This window comes from Homo sapiens, chromosome 2, assembly GCF_000001405.40.
Source record: "Homo sapiens chromosome 2, GRCh38.p14 Primary Assembly".
Classification (NCBI taxonomy): domain Eukaryota; kingdom Metazoa; phylum Chordata; class Mammalia; order Primates; family Hominidae; genus Homo; species Homo sapiens.
In genome coordinates, this window is record NC_000002.12 from 91,636,304 (window position 1) to 91,660,944 (window position 24,641).

The 24,641-nt window shown below is 47.5% G+C and overlaps 1 pseudogene across 1 annotated transcript, besides 1 other annotated feature; it reads right to left on the reverse strand.

The window, feature by feature from the left end:
* Positions 1-379: 379 nt before the first annotated feature.
* LSP1P4 (LSP1 pseudogene 4) lies at positions 380-23,646 on the reverse strand (annotated as a pseudogene). The gene is made up of 4 exons (NR_027238.1): positions 23,606-23,646; positions 19,065-19,199; positions 18,617-18,694; positions 380-730 (listed from the first exon to the last, which is right to left on the reverse strand). The product of NR_027238.1 is annotated as an LSP1 pseudogene 4 (transcript).
* Positions 22,056-22,887: an enhancer, noted in NCBI's record as "H3K4me1 hESC enhancer chr2:91846385-91847216 (GRCh37/hg19 assembly coordinates)". NCBI's record gives its function as "activates a minimal SCP1, AML or CMV promoter by ChIP-STARR-seq in naive H9 embryonic stem cells {active_cell/tissue: H9 hESC(naive)}" and the evidence as "EXISTENCE:reporter gene assay evidence [ECO:0000049][PMID:30033119]".
* Positions 23,647-24,641: the final 995 nt, after the last annotated feature.

Consider the following 24,641-nt stretch of genomic DNA (forward strand, 5'->3'; position numbering starts at 1 on the left):
TCCGTCCCTCCCTCCCTCTCTTCTTCTTTCTTTTCTTCCTTCCCTTTTCTTTCTTTCTATAGTTATAGGTTCTCATTTTATTCAATAGACTATAATCTACCATTATCATTATTAATTTGGATGCTCACATCATCCCAGATTTGGCCACTGGAAGCCCCTTGAAGTTGATTGATGTGTCCTTTGACATGTCCCTGTCATTTTTTAAATGCTTCCTTGCTTTCTGGCACCACACAGCACTCTGGGCTCACCTTGTACTTCCCTACCCCAGCCTTAGCATCAGCCATTTCTACAAGGAGCTCTGAGTCCTTTTAGTGAAGGGTGGTATTTATAAACCACAATCTGGATGGTTTGTGGATATTGCACAGCATTCAGTCAGAAGCCATGGGAAATGAAGCGACATTTATTGAAACTTGTATTAGTCAAGCAACTTAATGCTAGGCTAAGTTGCAGTGAGTAATAATCCCTAACCCCAGTGACAGTGCAGAAAAAGAAGGGTTTCATATGTGGAGTGTGATGCATGTCAATGGGAGTTTCCTCCACCTGGTGACTCAGGTATCCAGGCACATTCATCTCTGCAGGTCTGCCATCTTGACACGAGGTCATTGCAGAAGGAGAGAGGGTGTAGAGTCATGCCAGTTCTTAGGTGCTCCTGACAAGGAGATCTGCAGCACTCTGCTCACATTCCTGTTTTCCAGAACTCAGCCAGTACCCAGTGCAACTGCCAAAGAGTCTGGGAAGCATAGAGAGTACACGGATAGCTGGAGACCCTTCATCACTACTGTCATATGTTCATTTATGCAATACATATCAATGGGTTCACCCCAGTCAGGCTGACTCCAAGAGGCTAAGATGACTTCACCTTGGGTGGTTTGCAGCTGGGAAAGAAAGGCAAGTCGGCACTGATCGAACAGATCATTCACTTCAGTGGGCTGTCGAGCTGTGCTAGAGGCAGGTGCAGTGTGCTGCAGAAATACAGATGGTGACTACTACCCTGGAGTCTTGGGGAGATCCTGGTGTGCATTGGTGTGGGGTTGGAAAGGTGAGTTGGCACTCACCCCCTTCAAGAAGAAGTGGGAAGGACATTTCAGGCAGGGGCAAGTGCAAAGGCACAGGGCCTGAAAGAACTAGGCTGGGAGAAGAGGATGGCATTGGAATGGGTGGGAGAGGGGTCTGCTGGGGAAAGCTGGGGAGGCAAGAGACGAGGCTGGACAAGCAGATTGTGAAGGGCCACACTGAGGAGCTGGGGATTAGTACATTAATTTTTATTAATTGGATTAATGATTAATAATGTGGGTTGCAGGGAATCATAGGGAGTGTGAAGAACACTGTGGTTGTGTTTTAGGAGGATTGCCTTGGTGGTAGAGCGTTGGATGGAGGAGATAGGAGTGGGGGTGAACACATCAACACAGAGAGACCTGCCCAAAGGCTCTGGCAGCCATGCAAGCAAAAAGCGTCGAGGACCTGAATTAGAAGGTGGCACTGGGGATGGATAGAAGGGGTTGGCTGGTGGAGCCATTTTGAGATAATGAATCAATAATAGCTTCCATCTATTGTGGATTGTCAAGATGTATTATTGGCTCACAATCCTTCCTGGCCTTCTCACATTCCTGCGACTTCCCTGTGGACAGGACAGAGCAGATTTCTTGCTGTGCACATGACCAGCTTTGGCTAGAGATGCATGAGCAGAGTTAGTGCATGCCTGGTCTGACTGGAGGCTCTAACTGAATGTGGTGTTGGGTGGCAGCACTGACCCCACCCCTGCACAATGAGAAGAGCAAGCTCCAGGGAACCACCGGCCTGTGAATGAGACACACAGAAGCAAACAGAGCCTGGCCCCCAGTCCGAGGCAAGGCTTCCCAGCTCACTGCAAATTATTAGCAAGAAATAAACACTTGTTTTGAGCTGCTGAGCCCCTGGGGCTGTGTGTTATGCAGCAATGCTGTAAAAACACTTGACCAATACAGGGACTTGCCCTTTCGTAAGTACAGCATCTCATTTACCCATGATATCTCTTCATAGTAAGGATTAGGGATGCCATTTTAAAGATGAGGCAACTGAGGCTTAGAGAGGTTACGTCACTTGCTTAAGGTTCCAGAGCTGGTAAGTCAGAGAAGGATTTGAAGCCAGGACTGTCTCGTAAGCCCATCCTTCTGCCTCTGTCTACACAGTGCTGCCTTTCAAAGGTGGCAAGCTCCTGAGTTAGCCATTTTAACCTGCCAGAAACCTCCTTGCTCCTGAACTGGGGAGAGGGACTGAGCTTTGGATTTCAAGAGGAGGATCTAGGGCCACCATCAGGGGTCCTGTGCTTGAGGTGATGTGGCTGGCTCATCACCTGAGCTTTTCCACCTGCCCCTCCCCATCCCCTCCCCTCTACCCTGCTCCCTGCCCTGTGCCAAGCTGAGCACATTGGCAGGGCTGGTGGCTGGGAGCTCAGCGTGTATCCTGTAGCCACAGAACAGAGCTTTTGTTGCTGTAATACAGAGTTCAGTCTTGATATCAGCAGTGGGTGCAGTAAAATCCCACCGATTTTCTTATCAAGTTTTCCATTTGTGTCAGTGAAGCAAATCCAATTTAAAATACATCTTCAGAAAAAGGAGGGTCAGTGAGTTCAAACAGAAGAATATTTGCTAACTGGATCAGGAAACCTTGCTCTGTGCTAAACTGTTTGAGGAAAATCCTCTTAGCACAATTTTGCAGGAGCCAGGCATGTGAAAGGATCATTTCCTCACTATCATCCCCTGAGATCAGGGCTCTGGCTGGATGAAATGAGGCAGGAGTTTATTAGCTGCTTAGCTGATTAGAGCCTGTGCTGATGAGGCTGAGGTCTGACAAGTCAACATCAGAGAGAGATCTTGGTTTCCAGTAGTTTTTAATTCTGCCCAACTCTTTGTGGGAAAGAGCCTGGGTAAGACAGGACACCAACTACTTGCTCAAAACCACCATCCCCACCAGACAAGCAGCTCATGGAACCCTCCCTGGGAAAGACTGAAGGCTGTGGAGACCTAGCTGCATATTATATTATATTTTGCATTATAAGGTCTTATCGATACAGAGAAAACTCTCAATTTCAAAAAATGATGAGAAACTCAGTCTTTTTTTTTTTTAGATAGTCTTGCTCTGTCTCATCTCCCAGGCTGGAGTGCAGTGGCACAATCTCAGCTCACTGTAACCTCTGCCTCCTGGTTCAAGTTATTCTTCTCCCTCAGCCTCCCGAGTAGCTGGGATTACAGGTGTCTGCCACCTCACCCAGCTAATTTTTGTATTTTTAGTAGAGATGGGGTTTTGCCATGTTGGTCAGGCTGGTTTGAGCTCCTGACCTCAGGTGATCTACCCACCTCAGCCCCTAAAGTGCTGGGATTAAAGGCGTGAGCCACCACACCTGGCCAAAAAATGAAGAGAAACTCAGTGTTTTGGATAACAGGGAGAATGTTTAGTGTTCTAAAAATGTATCCTTTCACATGTAAAGCTTCTTGCCTCTGAACCTTTGCCAGTGCTGTTCCGTCTGCTAGGGTTGTACTTCCACCCTGCATGCTGGTGAATTCCACTTTGCCCTCCAGCCCAAGCATCATATTTTCCAGACAGCCATTTGCCGTGCTGCCCACCAAACAGGCTGTCCCTTGTTCTCATGCCACTGCTGAACATTGTTTATTCCTTGTGCTAGGCAGGGCTTTGTCAGTTGTAACAACTGAAACTCCACTTAGACATGTTTCAGCTAAAGGGTGACTTATTGATTTTTATAACTGCAAAGACCATGGTATGCCTGAATTTTGAGGTTCAAGTAAGTTATTTTCTCTCTCTCTCTCTCTCTCCTCTTCCTCTCCTCCTTCTCATTTTCCTTCTCTTTTTCTTTCCTCTCCTCCTTCCCTCCGTTCTTCTTTTCCTTCTTTTTATCTTTCTTCCTCTCTCCTTACTTTTTTCTCTTTCTCTCCCTTTAATTTGCTCTATTCTCTATATGGGCCTCATTCCTTCTACTGCAAATAAGGAAAATGACCACCTGGAAACCCAAGGCCCACCACATCCCAGCAGAGCCACCCCAGCTGAAAGAAACCCAGCTTCTCCCTCAAGCATCTACACATCAATCCAGGCCAGAACTCCATCTGACCCTTGTGAGACATGCTTCCACACCTCGGTGGACCACTGAGGCTCGGGAATTCAGCATAATGATGGGCACTTCTGGGGTCATGGGCCTTCCCTGTAGCTAAGGTGACAAAAGGACAGACTGGCCTGGAATGTCCATGCCAGCTGGCTTACATGCCCAGCCATTGATGCTGGCTGTTTTCTGGGAGCTCAGTTGTGCTCTAGACCAGAAAACCTCCATGTGGCCTCTCCACATGACCCTCATTTCTCAGCATGGTGGCTGCGGCCCAACGGGGAGACTCTCATGAGCAAAGATTCCAAAAGACCAAAGTGGCAGCTACGAGCCTCCTCATGGCTGAGCCTCAGCCCCCATGCAGCATCAGAGCCACTGCAGTCTTGGCTTCCCAGGAGGCCAGCCCAGAAGCAGCAAGAAAGGGGACCTGGAAACCAGGAGGTTTGGTTCGAGGGAAGGCCCTCTGATATAATTTGGATATTTATCTCCACCCAGATTTCAAGTTAAATTGCAGTCTCCAGTGCTGGAGTTGGGGCATGGTGGGAGTTGTTTTGACCATGGGGGTAGATCCCTCATGGCTTGCTGCTGTCTTTGAGATAGTGAGTTCTTGTGAGATCTGGTTATTTAAAAGTGTGTGGCATGTCCCTCCCCACACCCACTGACTCTCTCTTGCTTGTTCCTGCTTTGGCCACGTGATGTGCCTGCTCATGATTGTAAGCTTCCTAGGCCGCCTTAGAAACCAAGCAGATGCCAGCACCATGCTTCTTGTGAAGCCCGCAGAACAATGAGCCAATACAAATCTTTTCTTTATAAATTAACTTATCTCAGATATTTCTTTATAGCAACGCAAGAATGGCCTAATACGCCATCTTTGGAGACTAGCTGGCACATGGGCCTTCTCCATCTGTAGCTACACTTCTAGAACAGACATGGCTTCCAAGGCCACTGCAGCAGCTGGAGGAAGAGCTCAGGGTCCTGTGGGATGTTCCTCAGGCTCAGATCTGTGGTTCCACCCACATTCTATTGGCCATAATCTCGCTCCCTAGCCTCCACTTGACAGCAAGGAACCTAAGGGAAGGGATCTGCTGAGGACAATCTCTGCCACAAGGAGCAAGTGAAAGCAAGTAGAGAGGAAGCCAAGACTGATGCCCAAGTGGGAGAGGTGCTGAGGAGAGAGGTCTTTTTTTTTTTTTTTTGACAGAGTTCTGAATGTTTCAGAGTAGTCCAAGTGCACCCAAAAGCACAATAATTAAATGAGGGGCAGGAGAGTGGTTTAGAAGAAGATTGTTTTTCTGGATTCAGCTCCAACAAAGTTTGTCCTGCAGGTCTTGGTGCTGTGCCATGGTCCTTCTCGCCAATAATATTCAGCCTGGATACCCCGCTGTGGCTCTACCAGGGAGGAAAATATTTTCCTGCCACTGCCCTGAGCCTCCTGACTGACCCCAGCTGCCTTGCACATCCCAGCTTTTGGGACTACCCCAGACCTCCCTATAACCAGCAATCAGAGGCTGGCACAGCAAGGGTGCTTTGGAACCCTGCCTGGTGCTCCAGGGTGACAGGCAGCACCTGCTGTCATTGGTCAGTGTCTGTGCAGTATTTGCTAGAGTTTTGTGGATCTCAGCCTTGAAATCTGTGTCTTTCTACAGTCAAAGGATCTGAGTTGGGAGAAGGCACCTAGATATGCTCCACCATAGCGTTCTGGTGTTTCCTGTCATCTCTGAAGCCTCTGAGCTCTTATAACGGGGGCTTAAAGATGGTAGCATTGAGATATGAAGGCTTGTAGTTGTTGTCCAGTTCAGGGGACTTTAACTCCAGGTATCTGGAACTTAGAATAAATCCTCATGCCCTCACCATGGCAACAGGGCTCACCTCCTCTGTCTCATACCTCTCCCTCCCTTGGCCACTATTGCTACAGATATCCTGACCCTTTTACCTCTTTATCAAATAAGCCCACTCTGCCCCAGGGCCTTTGCATGGGCTTACTTTCCTCCAAGAATAATTTACTCCTGATATTTGCCTGACTAAATCCTTCTCACCTTTCTGATTGCAAAGAGGCTTCCTTGACAACTCATTCTGAAGCAGCTTTTCCCTCCAGTCTAGCTACTTTCTCTTTCGTTATTCTGTTTGATTTTATTTATAGCACTTAGCGCTGTATGACACTGTTTATTTTGAAATTGTTTATTTCTCTCTCCTCGATAATATAAGCCCAAAAAAGACAATGAATATGTTTTTGATTCTGTTTCTATCCCCTGGCCCTAGAATAGGGTCTGGGAGATAGTTGCAGCAGAATCCCTAGCTGAAATGGCAATCTTGTGCTAACTGGAAGAAAAGAGCTCCCTTGCCCCCATCCCTGTTTTTTTTTTTTTTTTTTTTTTTAGATGGAATCTCCCTCTGTTACCCAGGCTGGAGTGCAGTGGTGTGATTTCGAAGAGAGCCCTTTCTTGATATACTTTGTCATCTTCTGCTAGAAGTTTTTTATACTCATTATACAAACCCACCCTATCTGTGATGTACACACCCTGTATGGCCCTGCTTCCACCCCAGCAAAAATGCTTGTGGAATGAATGAATGGATTGGTGGAAGTCAGGGGGACTGGAACATCTGCAAACAAATGTCAGTGTGTGTGGCCAGTGTCTGTGCACCTTTCTTGATTGATTGAATCTTCTGTGCATTGATTTCATGGTATTGGGCACAGAATCCCCTTTTTTGCTCATTACCAACAAAGATTTGTCAAGCACCCACTCACTGTGTTCACTTGGGGAATTCAGACATGAACAAGACACAATTTCTTGATTTAAGAAGCTGAGATTCTAGAAGGCCAGGCAGTGATGTGAAAGATGGTGCATTCCAGGGTCATAACGGCTGCACTAGGAGCCAGCCCAGGGCTCTCCTGGAGCATAGGACACCTGTTCAGTGCAGAGGACTCAGTAAGTCTTTCTGGAGAAGTGATTGAGCTGGCTCTGCAGGATGGAGAGGTTTGAAAATTGCTAAGTGCTTTGTACAACTTATAAAAATCCACGTTGCCCAGTTTCCAAGCAGTCTCATGTTCAGTAGACAAAAGGCAATTTTCAAACTGAAATTCTTTACTTGCATTTCTATTTCTATTTTCCTTCCTTCCTTCCTTTCTTCCTTCCTTCCTTCCTTCTTTCCTTCCCCCACCCCACCCCCTGAGTCTTGCTCTGTTGTCCAGCAGACTGGAGTGCAGTGGTGTGATCTCGGCTCACTGCAACCTCCAACTCCTGGGTTTGAGTAATTCTCCTGCCTCAGCCACCTCTCTATCTTTCTGTAGCTGGGATTACAGACACATGCCACCATGCCTGACTAACCCAGATGGGGTTTCACCATGTTGGCCAGGCTCTTCTTGAACTCCTGACTTCAAGTGATCCACCTGCCTCTGCCTCCCAAAGTACTGGGATTACAGGTGTGGGCCACCGCGCCCGGCCCTTTACTTGCATTTCTTAAGTTGTGTGAAGTCAGTAGGGATTGTTCTCTAGAATTCCCTTTTACTCTCCTATCCACATTCCCCCAGATTGTAGTTCCCTCACCTCTTTCACACAATCTTACCTGCAAAACTCCACCCACAGCTTTCAATACCTCTCCCCACTTCTCTGCTCTTTATTGTGAAGACAAGCACAGTTTCTTCCTTTTGGGACCATTCCTCCCTGCTCTGGCTTTTCAGGTCTAATAATGTATCCATTCTCTATCACAAAAGCCAAGCTAGAATCCTCTTTGGAGCACAGCCCAGGTCAAGAAACTGCATAGATACAGCAGAGGGAGAAACGAGGTTCAGAACACTCATGCATTAATTGTTTTGATCTCATCACAGTTTCTTCCTTTTGTTTTTTTTTTCTGAGGTGGAGTCTTGCTCTGTCACCCAGGCTGGAGTGCAGTGGTGCCATCTTGGCTCACTGCAACCTCTGCCTCCCACACGCCACCATGCCTGGGTAATTTTTGTATTTTTAGTAGAGACAGAGTTTCACCATGTTGGCGAGGATGGTCTCAATCTCCTGACTTCATGATCTACCTGCCTCGGCCTCCCAAAGTGCTGGGATTACAGGCCTGAGCCATCACACCTGGCTGGCCTCATCACACTTTCTAAACGACTATTATTAACTCATTTCCCAGATGAGAAAACTGAAGCTCAGAAAGATCAAGCGACCTGCCCAATATCCCAAAGCTATTAAGTGCCTATTCTTCCTGCCTGCCATACTTCCCTTACCTCTGTCTTCCCCTTTGCCTACTTAACTGTGATTCAACCCAAAGAGAAATTTCCCCAGGAAAGCCTTTCCTAAACATCTTGCCTTGGCCAACCTCCCCAACTACTGTACACTTCGACAAGGCTGTGAACTTTCCCTTCACAGCCCTTGTCACATTTGTAATTGTTCATTTCCTTGGATTATTCCTGGGTTAAAGTCTATCTAGACTTTATGCATTTTTTTTTTTTTTTTTGAGACGGAGTCTGGCTCTGTCGCCCAGCCTGGAGTGCGGTGGTGTGATCTTGGCTCACTGCAAGCTCCGCTTCCTGGGTTCACGCCATTCTCCTGCCTCAGCCTCCCAAGTAGCTGGGACTATAGGCACCTGCCACCATGCTCAGCTAATTTTTTGTATTTTTGTAGAGAGGGAGTTTCACTGTGTTAGCCGGGATGATCTCAATCTCCTGACCTCATGATCCACCCGTCTCAGCCTCCCAGAGTGCTGCGATTATAGGCATGAGCCACTCTGCACAGCCTAGACTTCAAGCTTTTAGAATAGCGTGTCTCTCTCTCTCTCTCTCTCTCTCTCTCTCTCTTTCTCTGTCTCCCTCCCATTGTATAACCAGTGAGTAAAACAACATCTGGGACATGTCAGTACTTGCTAGATATTTACTGAATAAAAGAATGAATGACTGAAATTCAAACCCGTGTCTCCAAAATCCAAGTTCTTGTCTGACATCATGACTTGTTGTTCTCCAGGAGAACAGGAGACGTCTCTCTCTGTCTCCTAGGCTGAGATTGCAGTGGCGCAATCTCAGTTCACTGTACCCTCTGCCTCCTGGGCCCAAGTGATCCTCCCACCTCAGTCTCCCAAGTAGCTGAGATCATAGGCATGGACCACCATGCCTGGCTAATTTTTGTATTTTTAGTAGAGACAGGGTTTCGCCATGTTGGCCAGGCTGGTCTTGAGCTCCTGGCCTCAAGTGATCCACCTGCCTTGGCCTCCCCAAGTGCTAAGATTACAGGCACGAGCCACCATGCACAGCCATGCATATCTCCTTTATGTAACTTAACAACATCTGCAACGTTTGTTTGTGTGAGTTTTTTTATTCTGCCTGCATTTGTGTATGTGAGTCTTTTCCTATGGATTTTTCCCACCATGGCTGTAAGCACCATGAGAGTGAGGAAAATAGCTGTTTTGCTTTATCATATTTTCTCTGGTGCCTAACAAAGTACCTGGAACACAAGAGAGTCACTAATGGGATAAATACATGCATTAATGGGATTTGTCAATGAAGGGAAAAATTTAGTGCATTAGCTTGAATGAGGAGGTGGGTCCTACTGGCCTCTTGGGTAGAGGCCAGGGCTGCCACTAAACATTCTACAATATACAGGACAGCCTCCCACACCAAAAACTATACAGCTTAAAATGTCGATAGTGCTGAGGTTGAGAAATCCTGGTTTGACATATTATTCCTGTGTTAAAATTAATATATGTAAAATAATTTCCTCAGTTGTTAACATGGCATTTTTATCAAGCAATTTTGTTTTCTCTGAAATATACCTCAGATTGTTTTTAGTTTTTCCAGAGGAAACTTTATTCATCTTTTACTAGAGAAAAGAATATGGCAAACAGTGAATCTGTGTTTCAGGAAGGGTAACGTCGTTTTTCTTTTAATTTCCCTTTTGAAGCTCTCGGGGTGCTACCAACATCTTGGAAATCTGGATAATTTGAGTATTACTAAGGGAATAGTTTCATTCTACATGCTACAAATGTTTAATCATTTTATTTATCTAAAGCTCCTTTCTTGGCCAGGTGCGGTGGCTCATGCCTGTAATCCCAGCACTTTGGGAGGCTGAGGCGGGTGGATCACCTGAGGTCAGGAGTTGGAGACCAGCCTAGCCAAAATGGCAAAACCCTGTCTCTACTAAAAAAATATAAAAATTAACCGTGTGTGGTGGTGCGTGCCTGTAATCTCAGCTACTTGGGAGGCTGAGGCAGGAGAATTGCTTGAACCCAGGAGGTGGAGGTTGCAGTGAGCTGAGTTTTCACCACTGCACTCCATCCTGGGCAACAGAGCAGGACTTCTTCTCAAAATGAATGAATGAATGAAAGAAGGAGAGGGAAAGGAAGCTCCTTTCTCTTCTATTCCCAGTATTGCACCCCAAAAATAAGTAATCCATAAACCCCCAACGTATATTTCTGTTTTCTTAACTAGTTCTGAACAAAATGTTCAGTGTTGGCTGGGCATGGTGGCTCACGCCTGTAATCCTAGCACTTTGGGAGGCTGACGCTGAGGTCAGGAGTTTGAAACCAGCCTGGCCAATGTGGTGAAACCCCCTCTCTAGTAAAAATACAAAAATTAGCTTGGCGTGGTGACGTGTGCCTGTAATCCCAGCTACTCAAGAGGCTGAGGCAGGAGAATCACTTGAATCCTGGAGGCAGAGATTGCAGTGAGCCGAGATCGTTCCACTGCACTCCCGCCTAAAACTCCATCTCAAAAAAAAAGCAGGTGTTTTACTCTTAAAATAAGACATTAAAAAAATACTTCTGTTGTCTCCCCTCTTAGAACTGGTAATCTCTTCCTTCTCCACCCTCATCCCCTGCTGTGATTCTATATTGAAATATCATTGTATTTTGTGCCAGATGTCTTTGTATAAAACCAACTTAGTTCTGTGAGAAGAGTTGTACGTTTTTAATATTTTTGTTCTTTTTGTAGACTGCAGGAACAAAAATAGCCTTCCTATAGTAAGGTGGCAATTCACATTAAGAATGTAGATAAGCAAATTTAAACTTTTAAATGTAATTTGTCTAAAAAAATTGAAAAACAGTGTATAGTAAAAATCTCTCCTCCAACCAACGGAAAGTACTTTTATGTAAGATCCTTTAAGTTACTGACTTGAATCTTTACGTAAGGTAATTTGCTAGTATCTATTTTATAAATAATGTTATTTAATACTGTTTTATTTTCTATAGAATCCTGGTGTTTTTCCATGTAAATTTTTAAAAATTCTTAAAGTATGTATCCCTCATTTTCCCCTATAGTTGTTTGCTTCTACTTCTGTTTTTAAGAGATAGCATCTCAGTTGTTTAAGCTGGAATGCAGTAGCATGATCATGGCTTACTGCAACCTTGACTTCTTAGGCTCAAGCAGTCCTCCTGTCTCAGCCTCTAGAGTAGCTGGGATCACAAATGCATGCCACCATACCTGGCTAACTTTTCTTTTCTTTTCTTTTCTTTTTTATTTTTTTGAGATGGAGTCTCACACTGTCACCGGGCTGGAATGCAGTGGCGTGATCTCAGCTCACTGCAACCTCTGCCTCCTGGGTTCAAGTGATTCTCCTGCCTCAACCTTCCAAGTAGCTGGGATTACAGGTGCCCACCACCATGCCCAGTGAATTTTTTGTACTTTTTTTGATAGAGATGGGGTTTCACCATGTTGGCCTGGCTGGTCTCGAACTCTTGACCTTGTGATTTGCCCACCTCGGCCTCCCAAAGTGTTGGGACTACAGGCGTGATCCATCACACCCGGCCAACTTTTCTTTTTTTTTTTTTTTTTTAAGAGACAGGGTCTTGCTCTGTTGTCCAGGTTGGTCTCAATTCCTGGGCCCAAGCAATTCTCCCACCCGGGCCTGCCAAGGTGCTAGTATTATAGGCGTGAGCCACTGCACCCAGCCCTTTATAGTTTTTTTCTTTTTTTTGAGATGAAGTTTCCCTCTGTCACCAGGCTGGAGTGCAGTGGTGCGATCTCGGCTTACTGCAACCTCTGCCTCCCTGGTTCAAGCGACTCTCCTGCCTCAGCCTCCCGAGTAGCTGGGACTACAGATGTGTGCCACCACGCCCAGCTAATTTTTGTAGTTTTAGTAGAGACGGGGTTTCGCCATGTTGGCTAGGATGATCTCAATCTTTTGACCTCGTGATCCACCCGCCTCGGCCTCCCAAAGTGCTGGCATTACAAGCGTGAGCCACTGTGCCCAGCCAGCTCTTTATAGTTTAAGAGGAAGGATAAACCTTAAGAGATCACAACACTATATTTGTGTCAGGGATCCACAAGACTGCCTCCATGTTTGGAGATTTGCTAGAAGGACTCATGGGATCAGCTTAGGGTTGTAATGGCTAAGATTTATTACTGTAACATAGTATGGATATATAGTAGAAAGATCTCAATGGCAAAAGACACTGACAGAGTCTGGAAAAATCCATGTACCGGCTTCCTTATGTGCTGTGCCTTCCATGAGGATCACACAGACTACCTTCTTTCCCCCTTAATGAAAATACAACAACCTATGTGACTTCCCAAGAAACACAGTTTTTATCTTGGCTGGTCACATATGTGTACTCTGCCTAGCATGTGTGAAATTTCCAGACTCACAAAAAGAATAGCAGGATAAGCCACATTATTTCCATAGTCTAGATACAGTAAACCATGATTACCAGTTAGGGAACCCTCTTGAAATTCAAGTCCTCAGAAGCCAGCCTAGGACCAACTGTGCAGACAGACAGACCCTCCTTCACAGGATAATATAATAGTCTCAGATCTGCGTTGTTAATTTTTGTTTGCATAGAGTTTTATAATTGGAAGGTGTCTTAAATGCTACATATTTCTGTCTAATGGACTTTAGTAAGAGTGTTGTATAGTATACAACATGGAATTATTCTCCATTATAGGCAGGCTGTGATAAGTGTTCTAATGTTTATACAAAAGAACTCTGTAACTTTGAGCAGAGTAAAGAGAGTGTTAACGATACTTTTGACTGCAAATAGTGGAAAAATGTTGTGTTTAACTCTGAAATATGCTTTGCCTGATATTAGTATTTCTACTCTAGCTTTCTCTTGACTAGCGTAAGCATGGTATATATTATTCCATTCTTTTATTTTAACCTGTTTGCATCTTTGTATTTAACTTGTGTTTCTTGAAGGCGATAGTTTTATTTCTCTGATAAAAACATATAAGAAGACAATCACATTAAATGTATATGGTCTAAAACCTCTGCTTTTTAATTGGGGGTATTTAGACCATGTACATTTAATATGATTGTCTTCTTATATGTTTTCTATTTATCTCTATCTGTTCCTTGCATTTTTCTTGCATCCCCCACCTGCCAAGATGGGGTCTTGCTCTGTCACCCAAGCTAGAGTGCAGTGGTGTGATCATACCTTACTGCAGCCTTGACCTGCTAGGCTCAAGTGATGTACCTCAGCCTCCCAATAGTGGAGACCACAGTTGTGCACCACCATACCCGGCTACTTTATTTTTTTATATATGGGGTCTCACTATGTTGTCCAGGCTGGTCTCATACTCCTGAGCTCAAGTGAGTCTCCTGCCTTGGCCACCCAGAGTGCTGGGATTACAGGTGTGAGCCATTGCACCTGGTCTTCTTGCATTCTTTTACTTTATTTATTTTTTTTTTTGAGAGAGAGTCTCGCTCTGTTGCCAGGCTGGAGTGCAGTGGCGCTATCTCGGCTCACTAGAGTCTCCGCCTCCTGGGTTCAAGCGATTCTCCTGCCTCAGTCTCCTGAGTAGCTGGGATTACAGGTGTGCACCACCACACCCAGCTAATTTTTGTATTTTTAGTAGAGACGGGGTTTCACCATGTTGGCCAAGATGGTCTCGATCTCCTGACCTTGTGATCCGCTTACCTCGGCCTCCCAAAGTGCTGGGATTACAGGCGTGAGCCACCGTGCCCAGCTTATATTATTTATTATGATTCCAGTTTGCCTCCTTTTATTACTTTTACCTATTTTTAAAAATTATTTTTGTGGTTCCTTTAAGATTATAGTGCACATTTAGAGAGGTCTACCTTCAAGTAATATTGTACACTTCATCTATAATAAAAGCATTCCTTCATTTACTTTCTTTTCCTCCCTCCTGCACTTTGTGCTATTGCTGCCATGCATTTGACTTTTACATATGTCATAAACTCTGTAATATTTTGCTGTTTTTTTATTAAACATGTATCTCTTAGAGATTTAAATAATAAAAAATTTAAAAGATGTTTGCTCATATAGTTACCACTTTGGTGCTCTTTATTCCTTAGTATTGATCCAGATTTTCATCTGACATCATTTTGTTTCTGAAGAATATCCTTTAACATTTCTTGCAGTGAAGGTCTCCTGGTGATGAATTATTTCATTATTTATGTTTCTGGTGTGTCTTTATTTCACCTTCATTTTTGAAAGATATTTTTGCCAGGCATAGAATTCTAGTTGGCCTTTTTTCTTCTAGAACTTTAGAGATGTACCGCTGTCTTCTCACTTGCATTGTTTCTCAAAAGAAATCTGATGTTGTTCTTATCTTTGTTCTTCTATAGGTAACATGTCTTTTTATACACCTGCTATTAATAATGTTTCCTTGATTTTGAACAATTTGATTATGTTATCCCTTAGTGTAATTTTCTTCATGTTTCTTGTGCTTGGGGTTTGCTGAGTTTCTTGGATCCGTGAGTTAATAGGTCTTCTTATGGCTAGAACATTTTCAGCAGTTGTTTCTTCAAGTATTTTTTTCTCTTTCTTTTTTTTCTCCTTTGGGAACTCCAGTTACCTGCATATTATTAGGCCATTTGAAGTTGCCTGACTGCTCACTGATGCTTTTTAAAAATCACTTTTTAAGATTTTTTTTTCTTTTTGTACTTTAGCTAGTGTCTGTTCTTGTATCTTCAAGTTTGCTAATCTTTTCTTCTGCAGTTTCTAATCTGCTTTAGTTCATCCAATGTAATTTTCATCTCAAATGTTTTTGTCTTTGAAAGTTTGATTTTGGCTTTTCTTGTTTATCTCCCATGTCTCTATTTAATGTTTTGATTATATGAGATACATGTATAAAAACAGTTTTAATGTCCTCCTCTGCTAATTTTAACATCTATTTAAGTTCTGGGTCAGTTTTGATTGATTATTTTCAGTTTGCATCATGATTGTCTGCTGCTTTTTATGCCTGGTAATCCTCATTTAGTTGTAAAATTTACCGACAAAAGCAAAGTGACAAAAGGAGATAGGAAATATCATGAAAACAATTTCTCTAAAAAAAAAAACTTATGATGCCTAATCCCCTGAATAAAGACATTTAAGCCTTTCTTGCTTCATATTTAGACAAAAATCTTCCTGCTTATGTTCCTATTTCATCTCTGAAAACAGTGTAAGCAACCAGTTGTCCGAGGCACCATTCTTGGACAGTAATAATGTGCTGTCCTTAGTATATGAAGATGTAATTACTGTAGTAGCAACAAAAACCTAAGCTTTTGGATTGGATTCTGTTTTGGTTTTATTTTCTTCTACCACTACAATAAATGACACATAATCTTTCACTCTTAACGATAAATGGTGCATAATTTTAAGACAATTATGTGGAATTCAGAGAGAAATTCATACTCATGGAACACGATTTATATTCTGTGAAGTGTTAACAATGACTTAATGAATGAACACGTAATCTGATTTAACTAACACCATCTTATTAATTGATATTACATACACAGATCAAAATTTTGTAATATACTGAACAGGACTTAACAGAAAACTACATATATGTAAGTGATTAATAATCTTTCAATACGATGATGAAGCCAACAGAAAACTATAAAAACTATATTTGAGAAAGATGGAAAGTGGTAATAGGAGTATATATGTTCTCCAATTCTAAATTAGAGAAAATCTTACGAGTCAGCAAGTTAACACTTAATTTGATTATTTTTGATGTTACCAGCCCCAGAAATAGCATTCTGAAACAGATTACAGGCTTTCTTCTTTCTATTTGTTGATACATCAACTACCACAACTCACCTTTCATTTTGTTGCTAAATTTTCAGAATAAAGTGTGTGTGTGTGTGTTAAAATTCTCCTGCTAAAATAATCTTTCTATGTTCTTACATATTTAGGTTTGGAATATGGTTCATGATGGCAGAATTGTCCAGGTCAATATAGTAAAATACTCTGACCAAGACAGTAGGACCCAGACTCAAGCTGGGGAAGAGATAAATAAGCTCAGTTAAAAAGAAAAAGAGGGCCAGGAATGGTGGCTCACACCTGTAATCCCAGCACTTTGGGAGGCCAAGGCGGGCAGATCACCTGAGGTCGGGAGTTCAAGACCAGGCTGACCAACATGGAGAAACCCTGTCTCTACTAAAAAATACAAAATCAGCTGGGTGTGGTGGTGCATGCCTGTAATCCCAGCTACTCGGGAGGCTGAGGCAGGAGAATCGCATGAACCCGGGAAGTGGAGGTTGCGGTGAGCCAAGATCATGCCACTACTGCACTCCAGCCTGGGCAACAAGAGCAAGACTGTCTCAAAAAAAAAAAAAAAAAAAAAAAAGAAAGAAAGAAAAAGAAAAAGAGGTTGGGCATAATGTCTCAAGCCTGTAATCTTATCACTTTGGGAGGTCAAGGCAGGAAGATGGCTTGAGTCCAGGAGTTCAAGACCAGCCTGGGCAACACACTGAGAATCCATGTCTACAAAAAACTAAATAACTTAGCAGAGCAGGGTGGTGCACACCTGCAGTCCCAGCTACTTGGTTGGGAGGCTGAAGTGGGCAGATCACTTGAGCCAGAGAGGTTGAGGCTACAGTGAGTCATGTTTGTACAACTGCACTTCAACCTGGGCTACAGAGCGAAATCTTGCCTTAAAAAAGAAAGAAAAGAAAAAGAAAAAAGAGAAGAAGAAAAGAAGAAAGAAAAGAAACTTGCTGCATAGACATGACCACATTCATTTGAAAGCAAGTTAGTAAATATGTATCCTGAAAAGATAGTTTAGAAAAGAAACTTACAGACCATGAACAGAGTGATTATAAAACATTCTCTTAACAGTTAGCAGGTGGAATAAAAAGTGTATTCTTTAAAATGATTTCATTACTAGTAAATAGTTCTATAAGGAAAAGTAGGGGGAAAAAGGCAAAGAAATATGAAACTAAGTCAATGAAAAGCAAATAGGCTATGATCACACATCTAAAGGCCATGAATATGGCAAAGAGTATTTTAAAGAATCTAAAAAGTGTACTTTGAATTTTAAAGTATTTTAAGAGATTAATTTTATAAAAGGAAAAACAGTGTTATCACGCAGAAGGACCATATTTAGTATAATCAAAAGTTTAAGAAATTGGCCAGGCGTGGTGGCTCACACCAGTAATATCAGCATTTTGGGAGGCTGAGGCGGGTGGATCGGATCACCTGAGGTCAGGAGTTCAAGATCAGCCTCGCTGACATGGCAAAACACCACCTCTGCTAAAAGCACAAAAATTAGCCAGGTGTGGTGATGCACACGGGTAATCACAGCTACTTGGGAGGCTGAGGCATGAGAATTGCTTGAATCTGGGAGGCAGAGGTTGCAGTGAGCCACGATCATGTCACTGCACTCCCGCCTGGGCAATAGAGCAAGATTCTGTCTCAATCAAAAAAAAAAAAAAAAAAAGAGTTTAAGAAATTAAGGAAAGCTGAGTGTAATGAAACCTTTTCAAGGGTAGTAGTGGTATAGCTCAAACCTGGTTTGAATTCCAGCTTTGTCACTTACTGAGTAAGTAAGTAGCAGCCTTAAGCCCAACTGGTGTTTGCTATTTGCACGTATTTTCATAAATAAAAGTGGTCTGTAATGTTTTTACAGTGTTGTCAAACTTCAAGATTATTAAAACTATTAATATCCTGTTTAATGTTTAAGAATAAATAACTATTTGATATCTTTTAACTACTGTCCTATCACTGACTTTTAAGACTCTTACTGACAATTTTGTGATTTTTTCATGTAATCATCCTTTATATCTTACTTAGCAAGTTCTCTATTAGACATATGTCTGCTGAATGAAACTCAATTACAGATATTTTTGAACATTTATTAAATTTAAATTATATTTGTACTTGTAAGAAATATTTAAACAATGCTTTGTTTTTCTAAAATAAAAGAAAACTAATAGCACAAACCTTCATTTTCTAAGTGTGTCAAGTTGTTTTGTTTTTTTTATTTGCTTGTGTGTTTGTTTTTTGAGACTGAGTCTCCCTCTGTCGCCAGGCTGGAGTGCAGGGTGTGAGCTCAGCTCACTGCAACTTCCAACTTGCTGGTTCAAGTGATTCTCCTGCCTCAGCCTCCCAAGTAGCTGGAATTACAGGCATGTGCCCCTACGCTCGGCTAATTTTTTTTTTTTTTTGTATTTTTAGTATAGACCGAGTTTCACCACGTTGGCCAGGATGGTCTCCTCCTGACCTCGTGATCCACCCGCCTCGGCCTCCCAAAGTGCTGGGATTACAGGTGTGAGCCACTGTGCCTGGCCTATTTTAACTGTTTTATGTCTTCTGGTTTCATGTGACAATGAAATGAGTTAATATTTCCTGCCTGCACCAACCACATTTAGGCTCTACCTTAATTGTTGATGAGGTCTTGGAGCCTCCCTTCTGCTCCCAGAGGCTTTTCTTGCTCATGTCTCCAGCCACAATATCCTGGGGGCAGCAGAAGGGTATGTCACAAGGGCAGACCCCTGGATCTTGGGGAGTAGAAGCCCTGGGCCCTTCTCTCCTGCCTTGCCTTACCTGGCCAGGGGGCCTGGGATCTGCCTACCAAAACTTTTTCTGTGCGATCCCAGTGGAAGAAGCAGGGAAAGGAATAAAGGTGCCATCCACCTCCACTCGGACAACACAGCCTTCTACACCAGCAAGGGTGAACCCAACCCTACTGCAATACCTCAGGGTTCTGTCTGCCCACATTCATCCTGGACAGTCCCACGCTTGTCTTAACAAGGAAACCTGGCCTGCTACTAAACTCCCCGGTGCTGGCTCTGCAGCCCAGCCTTGCCCCTGGAGGGGACCTTACCTTGCAGGATGGAGTCTTGGCCGCAGACTGAGCCTGTACTTCACCCGTCTCCCACCAACTCTTGGTACTGGACGCAGCCATGCTGGGCAGCTCTATGGAGGCCTGGCGGGCTAGCTTGGGGGTCTGGCCAGCAGTCTGCAGAGGAGGAAAAGCATCAGGATTACCTTAGTGGACAGCCACCGTGGTCACATCAAAGGGTCACACTGGGCAACCCTCTGCTTTGTGTTTGTGTTTTCCCTGGGAGCGATTTCCCAATGCAGCCCTAGAGTGGGGATCACTGGAAAGATGTGCCTTCCTCCATTCAATGCAATTGTGAGACACCTCCCTTTCCTGAAGAGCATCAGGGAGATGATGGCGCACAAGACAGATGTGGGTCTGCCTCCATGCTGCTCATGGGGTAGGGCTGGGGGACCATGGGATGGATGGAGGGACATTGAATGGATGGAGGGACAGTGGTTAAATTGCAGAGTATTGGTTGGATGGAGGAGCATTGATTAGATGGAGGACTATTGGTTGTATAGAAAGGTGTTGATGAAGGAATATTGATTGGATGGAGGAGTACTGATTATATGAGGGAGTATTTGTTAGATGGAGGGGCACTGATTGAATGCAGTAGTAGCCGCGTGGCTGGGGGCTGCTGGGCCTCGTTCCACATGGGGAGGCAGAGCCTGGGGTGCAGGGGCCCTCATGCTCACTCACGCTCCCACTCACGATCCAGCCCCTCCAAATGGAGGGCGGCGCAGAGCTGGGGCAGAGTATTGAGGAGGTGGAGGGGTTCCACGGAGGAGAAGCCTGGCCATGTTGCTCCCCATGTTCCCATGTCCCAGCCCCTCCATGTGAGCAAGGTCTCAGCTGGGGTGTGTGTCCTTGGGCCTGGGGCATGAGATGGAGCCCAAGCTCCTCCTTGGACCTGGGCTTCCAATGGGTCCAGGGCCCTCACTCCAGCTCCACAGACCCCCTCCACCAAGCCATGGGGGGGCGTGGCTTGGAAGCACACATTGGCACAGAGACCCCAGAAGCCCGTGTGCACACGTTTCCTTAGGTCCACCCCTAAGGGCAACGAGTCCGGGCCCCAACAGCCCCATAAAGGCCCTCACTCTGCTCACAGCTCATGCCCAACACATGGAGTGTGGCCGGGCGCGGGACTCCCTAGGCCTGGGGCACATGCAGGTGCACACCCAACTCACACACATTCTCCACGAGCCCACGCTCCGGCCACACAGGCACACATGCCTGCACCCCATGCTCATACAAATATGCACGTGCTCACACACGGGAACCCTTGACATCCACGTGCATGTGCAGACAGGCTTGGGAACAAGGGGACCACGTCCCCCTCCAGGGATCCCTTCAGGGTGCTGCAGCCTCACTTTAGTGAGGCAAACATTGACTGTTTGCCTTGCCATGGCCCCGACAACGGCGGTGCCGGCCCTGGCACGAGGCCCAGGTGTGTACTCTGGGAACATCATCCATGCAGAGCTGGGCCCCTGGAGGATCACTCTGACTGAGCTCTCCCTGGCTAGGGGCCTGGGGGACAGAGTGGGGATGCAGAGTAAGCATCTCCTGGTGTCTCCCCTAAAACCCAGTGCTGGGGAGAAGCCCCGCCAGCCCCTGGCCTCTGACCCAGCAGAGCTGAGAACGTGGAGGCCTCTGGGCCCCTTCTCCGTCTCCTCCCTTTCCCCTCCCCCAGGATATGAGTCATGCGGGCCCCCTCCCCATGACCTCACCGCATCACTATTCCACAGCTGGGCTCCGTTCTGGGAACTGAAAGGGGGGCAGCTCTCCTGGGGTGGGGTGGGGGCCTCTGGCCTGGGAAAGGCGCCCCCCGGCCAGCGGCCCAGGCCCCTTGGCATGCACCACGGAGCTGTCAGGACTCTGGGATGGCCGACCCTGCCTGTGGCCCCGGCTCAGCCCCGTGCAGCTGCGAGGGATTTGGTGTTCCTGCGCAAATGCAATTAGGCCATTTCCTATGTCTGTTCTGGCTCCGAAGTCCAAGGTTCAGCCCAAGCAGCCAGGCGGTTACGGGGGGGCTCCATCCACCTCCCACCCCAGCACACACCCCCACCCTCACAGTCCCAGGCTCCACTTCGGGGCCTGGCCCCCAGCCAGGGACACCAGTATGCACAGAACCCTGAAGGATGCCTCGTTCTGAGTGGAGCTCCCCAAGCTCAGGTCTGTTCCTGTCGGCCTCGTCCACTGCCAACCACCCCCGACTCGGGACACTGGCCCTTCTTCTCCTTCCTCCACAGACCTCCCCACCTCTACCTCCCAGTCCCCACTGAGGGCCTGACAATGCCCATCTTCGGCCCAGCACTCCCAGCTACCCATTGCCGTCCTTCCCCTGCCTGGAAGTGCAGACACTTCCAGAATGGGTGTCCGGCTCGGTCCCCGTCCTGACTCTGCTCCCTACAGGCAGCTCCTGTGGCTGCCCCACCCAGCTGTCCTGAGCCCAGAGGTCGGCTGGAGAGGGTCGGTCCTCTCTGGGGTCCTGGGGAGTCAGGAGGCTCTGGTGAAGAGCAAGGGCTGCAGGGAGGATGTCGAGGGGAGGAGGAGCTTCTCCTCCAGGCCTGACCACAGGTCTCCTGGACACCACAGGGAGCTGGCGGGAGGACTGGGGAGTTGGGCAGGGCCTTCCACCAGGGTGGTTCGGGACTCCCTGCACAGCACTGAGGTCTCTGGTCCCCTCATTAGCCCAGCCTCCCGTGGGATCATAGACTTGAACCCTCAAGTCACTGCAGAGCCCAAGAGTGGAGAGACACAGCACCGTGTGCCGGGAAAAGGTGCCCACAGGGGCCCTTCATGGCTGAGGCTTCCAGAGGGTAGTGGGACGGCAACCCCGCTCCCCACCAGCCGCCCACCACAGCATTCATGATACAGCTTCGGAGTGTGGGTCGGGGTCTATCTGGGAAACCAGGGCAAAGGCGGTGGCAGCTGGCAGCACCCACACCCACAGCTGGGGCACTGCTCACATGAGCCCCCATCAGCAGGCCCCTTGGTTGTGCCACAGGCAGGGGTCCTGCCCCAGGGAGGGGGTAGTCCGTGGGGGGGGGCTCGAGGGTGTGGCACAGGCCAGCTGTCACTCCTCCCTGGAGAGGCAGCTGGGGACGCAGCTGGGAGGGGAGCCAGGAGCAGAGACAGCCCGGGGCCAGCAGGTGGGTGACAGGTGGGGCAGCGGGAGGGGCACGTGCTGTCCTCCTGGGGCTGGGGTATAGAGACGGGAACCTGCCCCCCAATGCCTGGTGCTGGCCCAGCCTCCCCCCGGGGCCTCTAGCACCTTCCCAGTTGTGTCTGCACCCTCCTGGGCGTGGCGGGGGAGGGTGGGGGTCAACCCCTTTCCTTGTAGTCCCGCGCCAGTGGGCAAGGGAGACGCCCCAGTGAGCAGGAGCCTAGCCTCTCTGCCTGGGGAGGCCAGGTGATGAGCCACCCGGAGTGGGAGGAGGCCTTGAACTTGGGTCTGAAAGATGAGCAGGGGTTTGCTGGGCCGGGTACAGGCAAAAGCTAATGCAGGAAGGCAGAGAGCAGGAGCGCTTAGAGGGAGTGGCTCTGTGCAGCCGGAGTCAGATGGGTGACCCTCACTCAGGAGGAAGCACTGGGACCCTCTCTCCTCACGCTGGGTCCCCCGCCTCCCTCTAGGATCCCCACACCCAGGTCCTTCTGGGCCTCTGCCACACAGATCAGGTCTGGAAGGCTCCCTGGAGGAGGCGGCGCCTAGACTTGGACATAGGCCTGCAGAGCTGATTTCTCTCACAACCCTGGGAAGACAGAACTCCTCAGCGGGTTGATGTGGAGGAGAGCGGAGCCTCCCTCCAAGGCACCAGTCCAGTGCTGGGGGCGACACAGAGAGCCAGAAGCTGGCGGGGGTGGGAGGCTCTGCCCCCCAAGGGCTTTACATGCCGAAGCCCCATGGCCGAGCTGGGACCCAGGGTCAGCCCAGGCAGGCCGCGAGAAAGGAGACTGTGGGCCCCACCCCATCACAGAGGGAGGAGGTGCTGTGCCCGCTGGGGGGGCAGCTGCCCCTCTCTGGGCCCTTTGGGTGGGAAGAGGCTTGGTGAGGTAGAAAGCCCAGCCCCTGCCAGCAGCGTTGCCTTCTCACAGTGGCAGCCCTTTGTAACCCGGGGGGGTCCCTGCAGGGCCTCTCCCTGTCTTCTCACCATGGGGCAGCATTTGGGGGCCTCTTGAGGGACCCCCTAGATGCTTCTACTCAGAGCCCCCAAAGCCAAGGAGCCTCCACTCCTCCGTCTGCAGCCTCCCCTGCCGGTTCTTGCTACCCAGGGTTCAGTGGCCTGGGGGCTGACAGAGGGGGTCGCCTCTGCCAAGGCCCCTCCCGGCGCCTCCCTGGCTCATCCAGCCCACCTTCCTCCCACGCTGGCTCACGCAAAGTGCTCTGGTCACCAGGAGCCCTTCCTGACCAGCCCCGGCCCCTTCTTGGCCTTCGCCCCACCTGGCCTCCCCTGGATCCCTGACCTGGGTGCCGGGCCTGCTGGGTCCAGAGCCCACCCCGCCCTGAACAACCCCGAGCCTCAGCCACCCTCAATTCTTACCCTTTCACAGCTGGGGAGTGGAGTCTGGGCCTGAGGTCTCCCGTGCGCCTCTCGGCGCCTGCGCCCGCGCTGTGCACCGCCCCGCGCCTGCGCCCGCGCTGTGCCTTTGCGAGGGCGGAGCTGCGTTGTGCTCAGCACAGACTCGGAGAGCATCGCGAGGGCGGAGCAGTGTTCTCCTTGGCACAGACCCGGGCGGGCCAGGGGCACCGCGAGGGCGGAGCTGCGTTCTGCTCAGCACAGACCAGGGGGACAACGTGAAGGCAGAGCAGCGTTCTCCTCAGCACGGACCTTGGGGGCACTGCCTCGCTTTGGGACAACTCGGGGCCGCATCGACGGTGAATAAAATCCTTCCTGTTTGCAGCCCTGAATAATCAGGGTCAGAGACCAGTTAGAAGGGTTCAGTGTGGAAAACAGGAAACCAAAAGCCCCTCTGAATCCTGCCCACCGAGGTTCTCCCCAGCCAAGGTGAGGCGGCCACAGTGCGAGATCCACACCGCAGCCTCGGAAGACAAATGCAGCATTCCTAATGCAGACATGACACTCAAAATATGACACCCCCCTTGCTCATGTAACAAGCACCTGTAGTGCTAATGCACTGCCTCGACACAAAAACATTAATATAAGATCCACAATCCCCTCGCTGCCGTGCAGTCCTAAGACAGCGATCATAATAATCAACATTGACATAGTCAATACAAACGTAGTAACGAACCTAGGGTTAAGGTTGGTGTTAGGGGTTAAGTTTAGGGTTAGGGGTTGGAGATAGTGGTTGGGGTCAGAGTTAGGGGTTAGGAGTCAACATTTAGAGTTAGGGGTTAAGAGAGGTTGGGGGTTAGGGATTAGGGGTTAGGGTTGGGTTAGGGGGAGGGTGAGAGTTGTGGTTAGGGGTTAGGGTTAGGGATTAGGGTTAAGGTTAGGGGTCAGGGTCAGGGGTCCCACTCTGTTGGCTATTTACTCTACTGACTGTTCCCTTTGCCATGCAAAAGCTCTTTAGTTTAATTAAGTCCCAGCTATTTATCTTTGTTTTTATTGCATT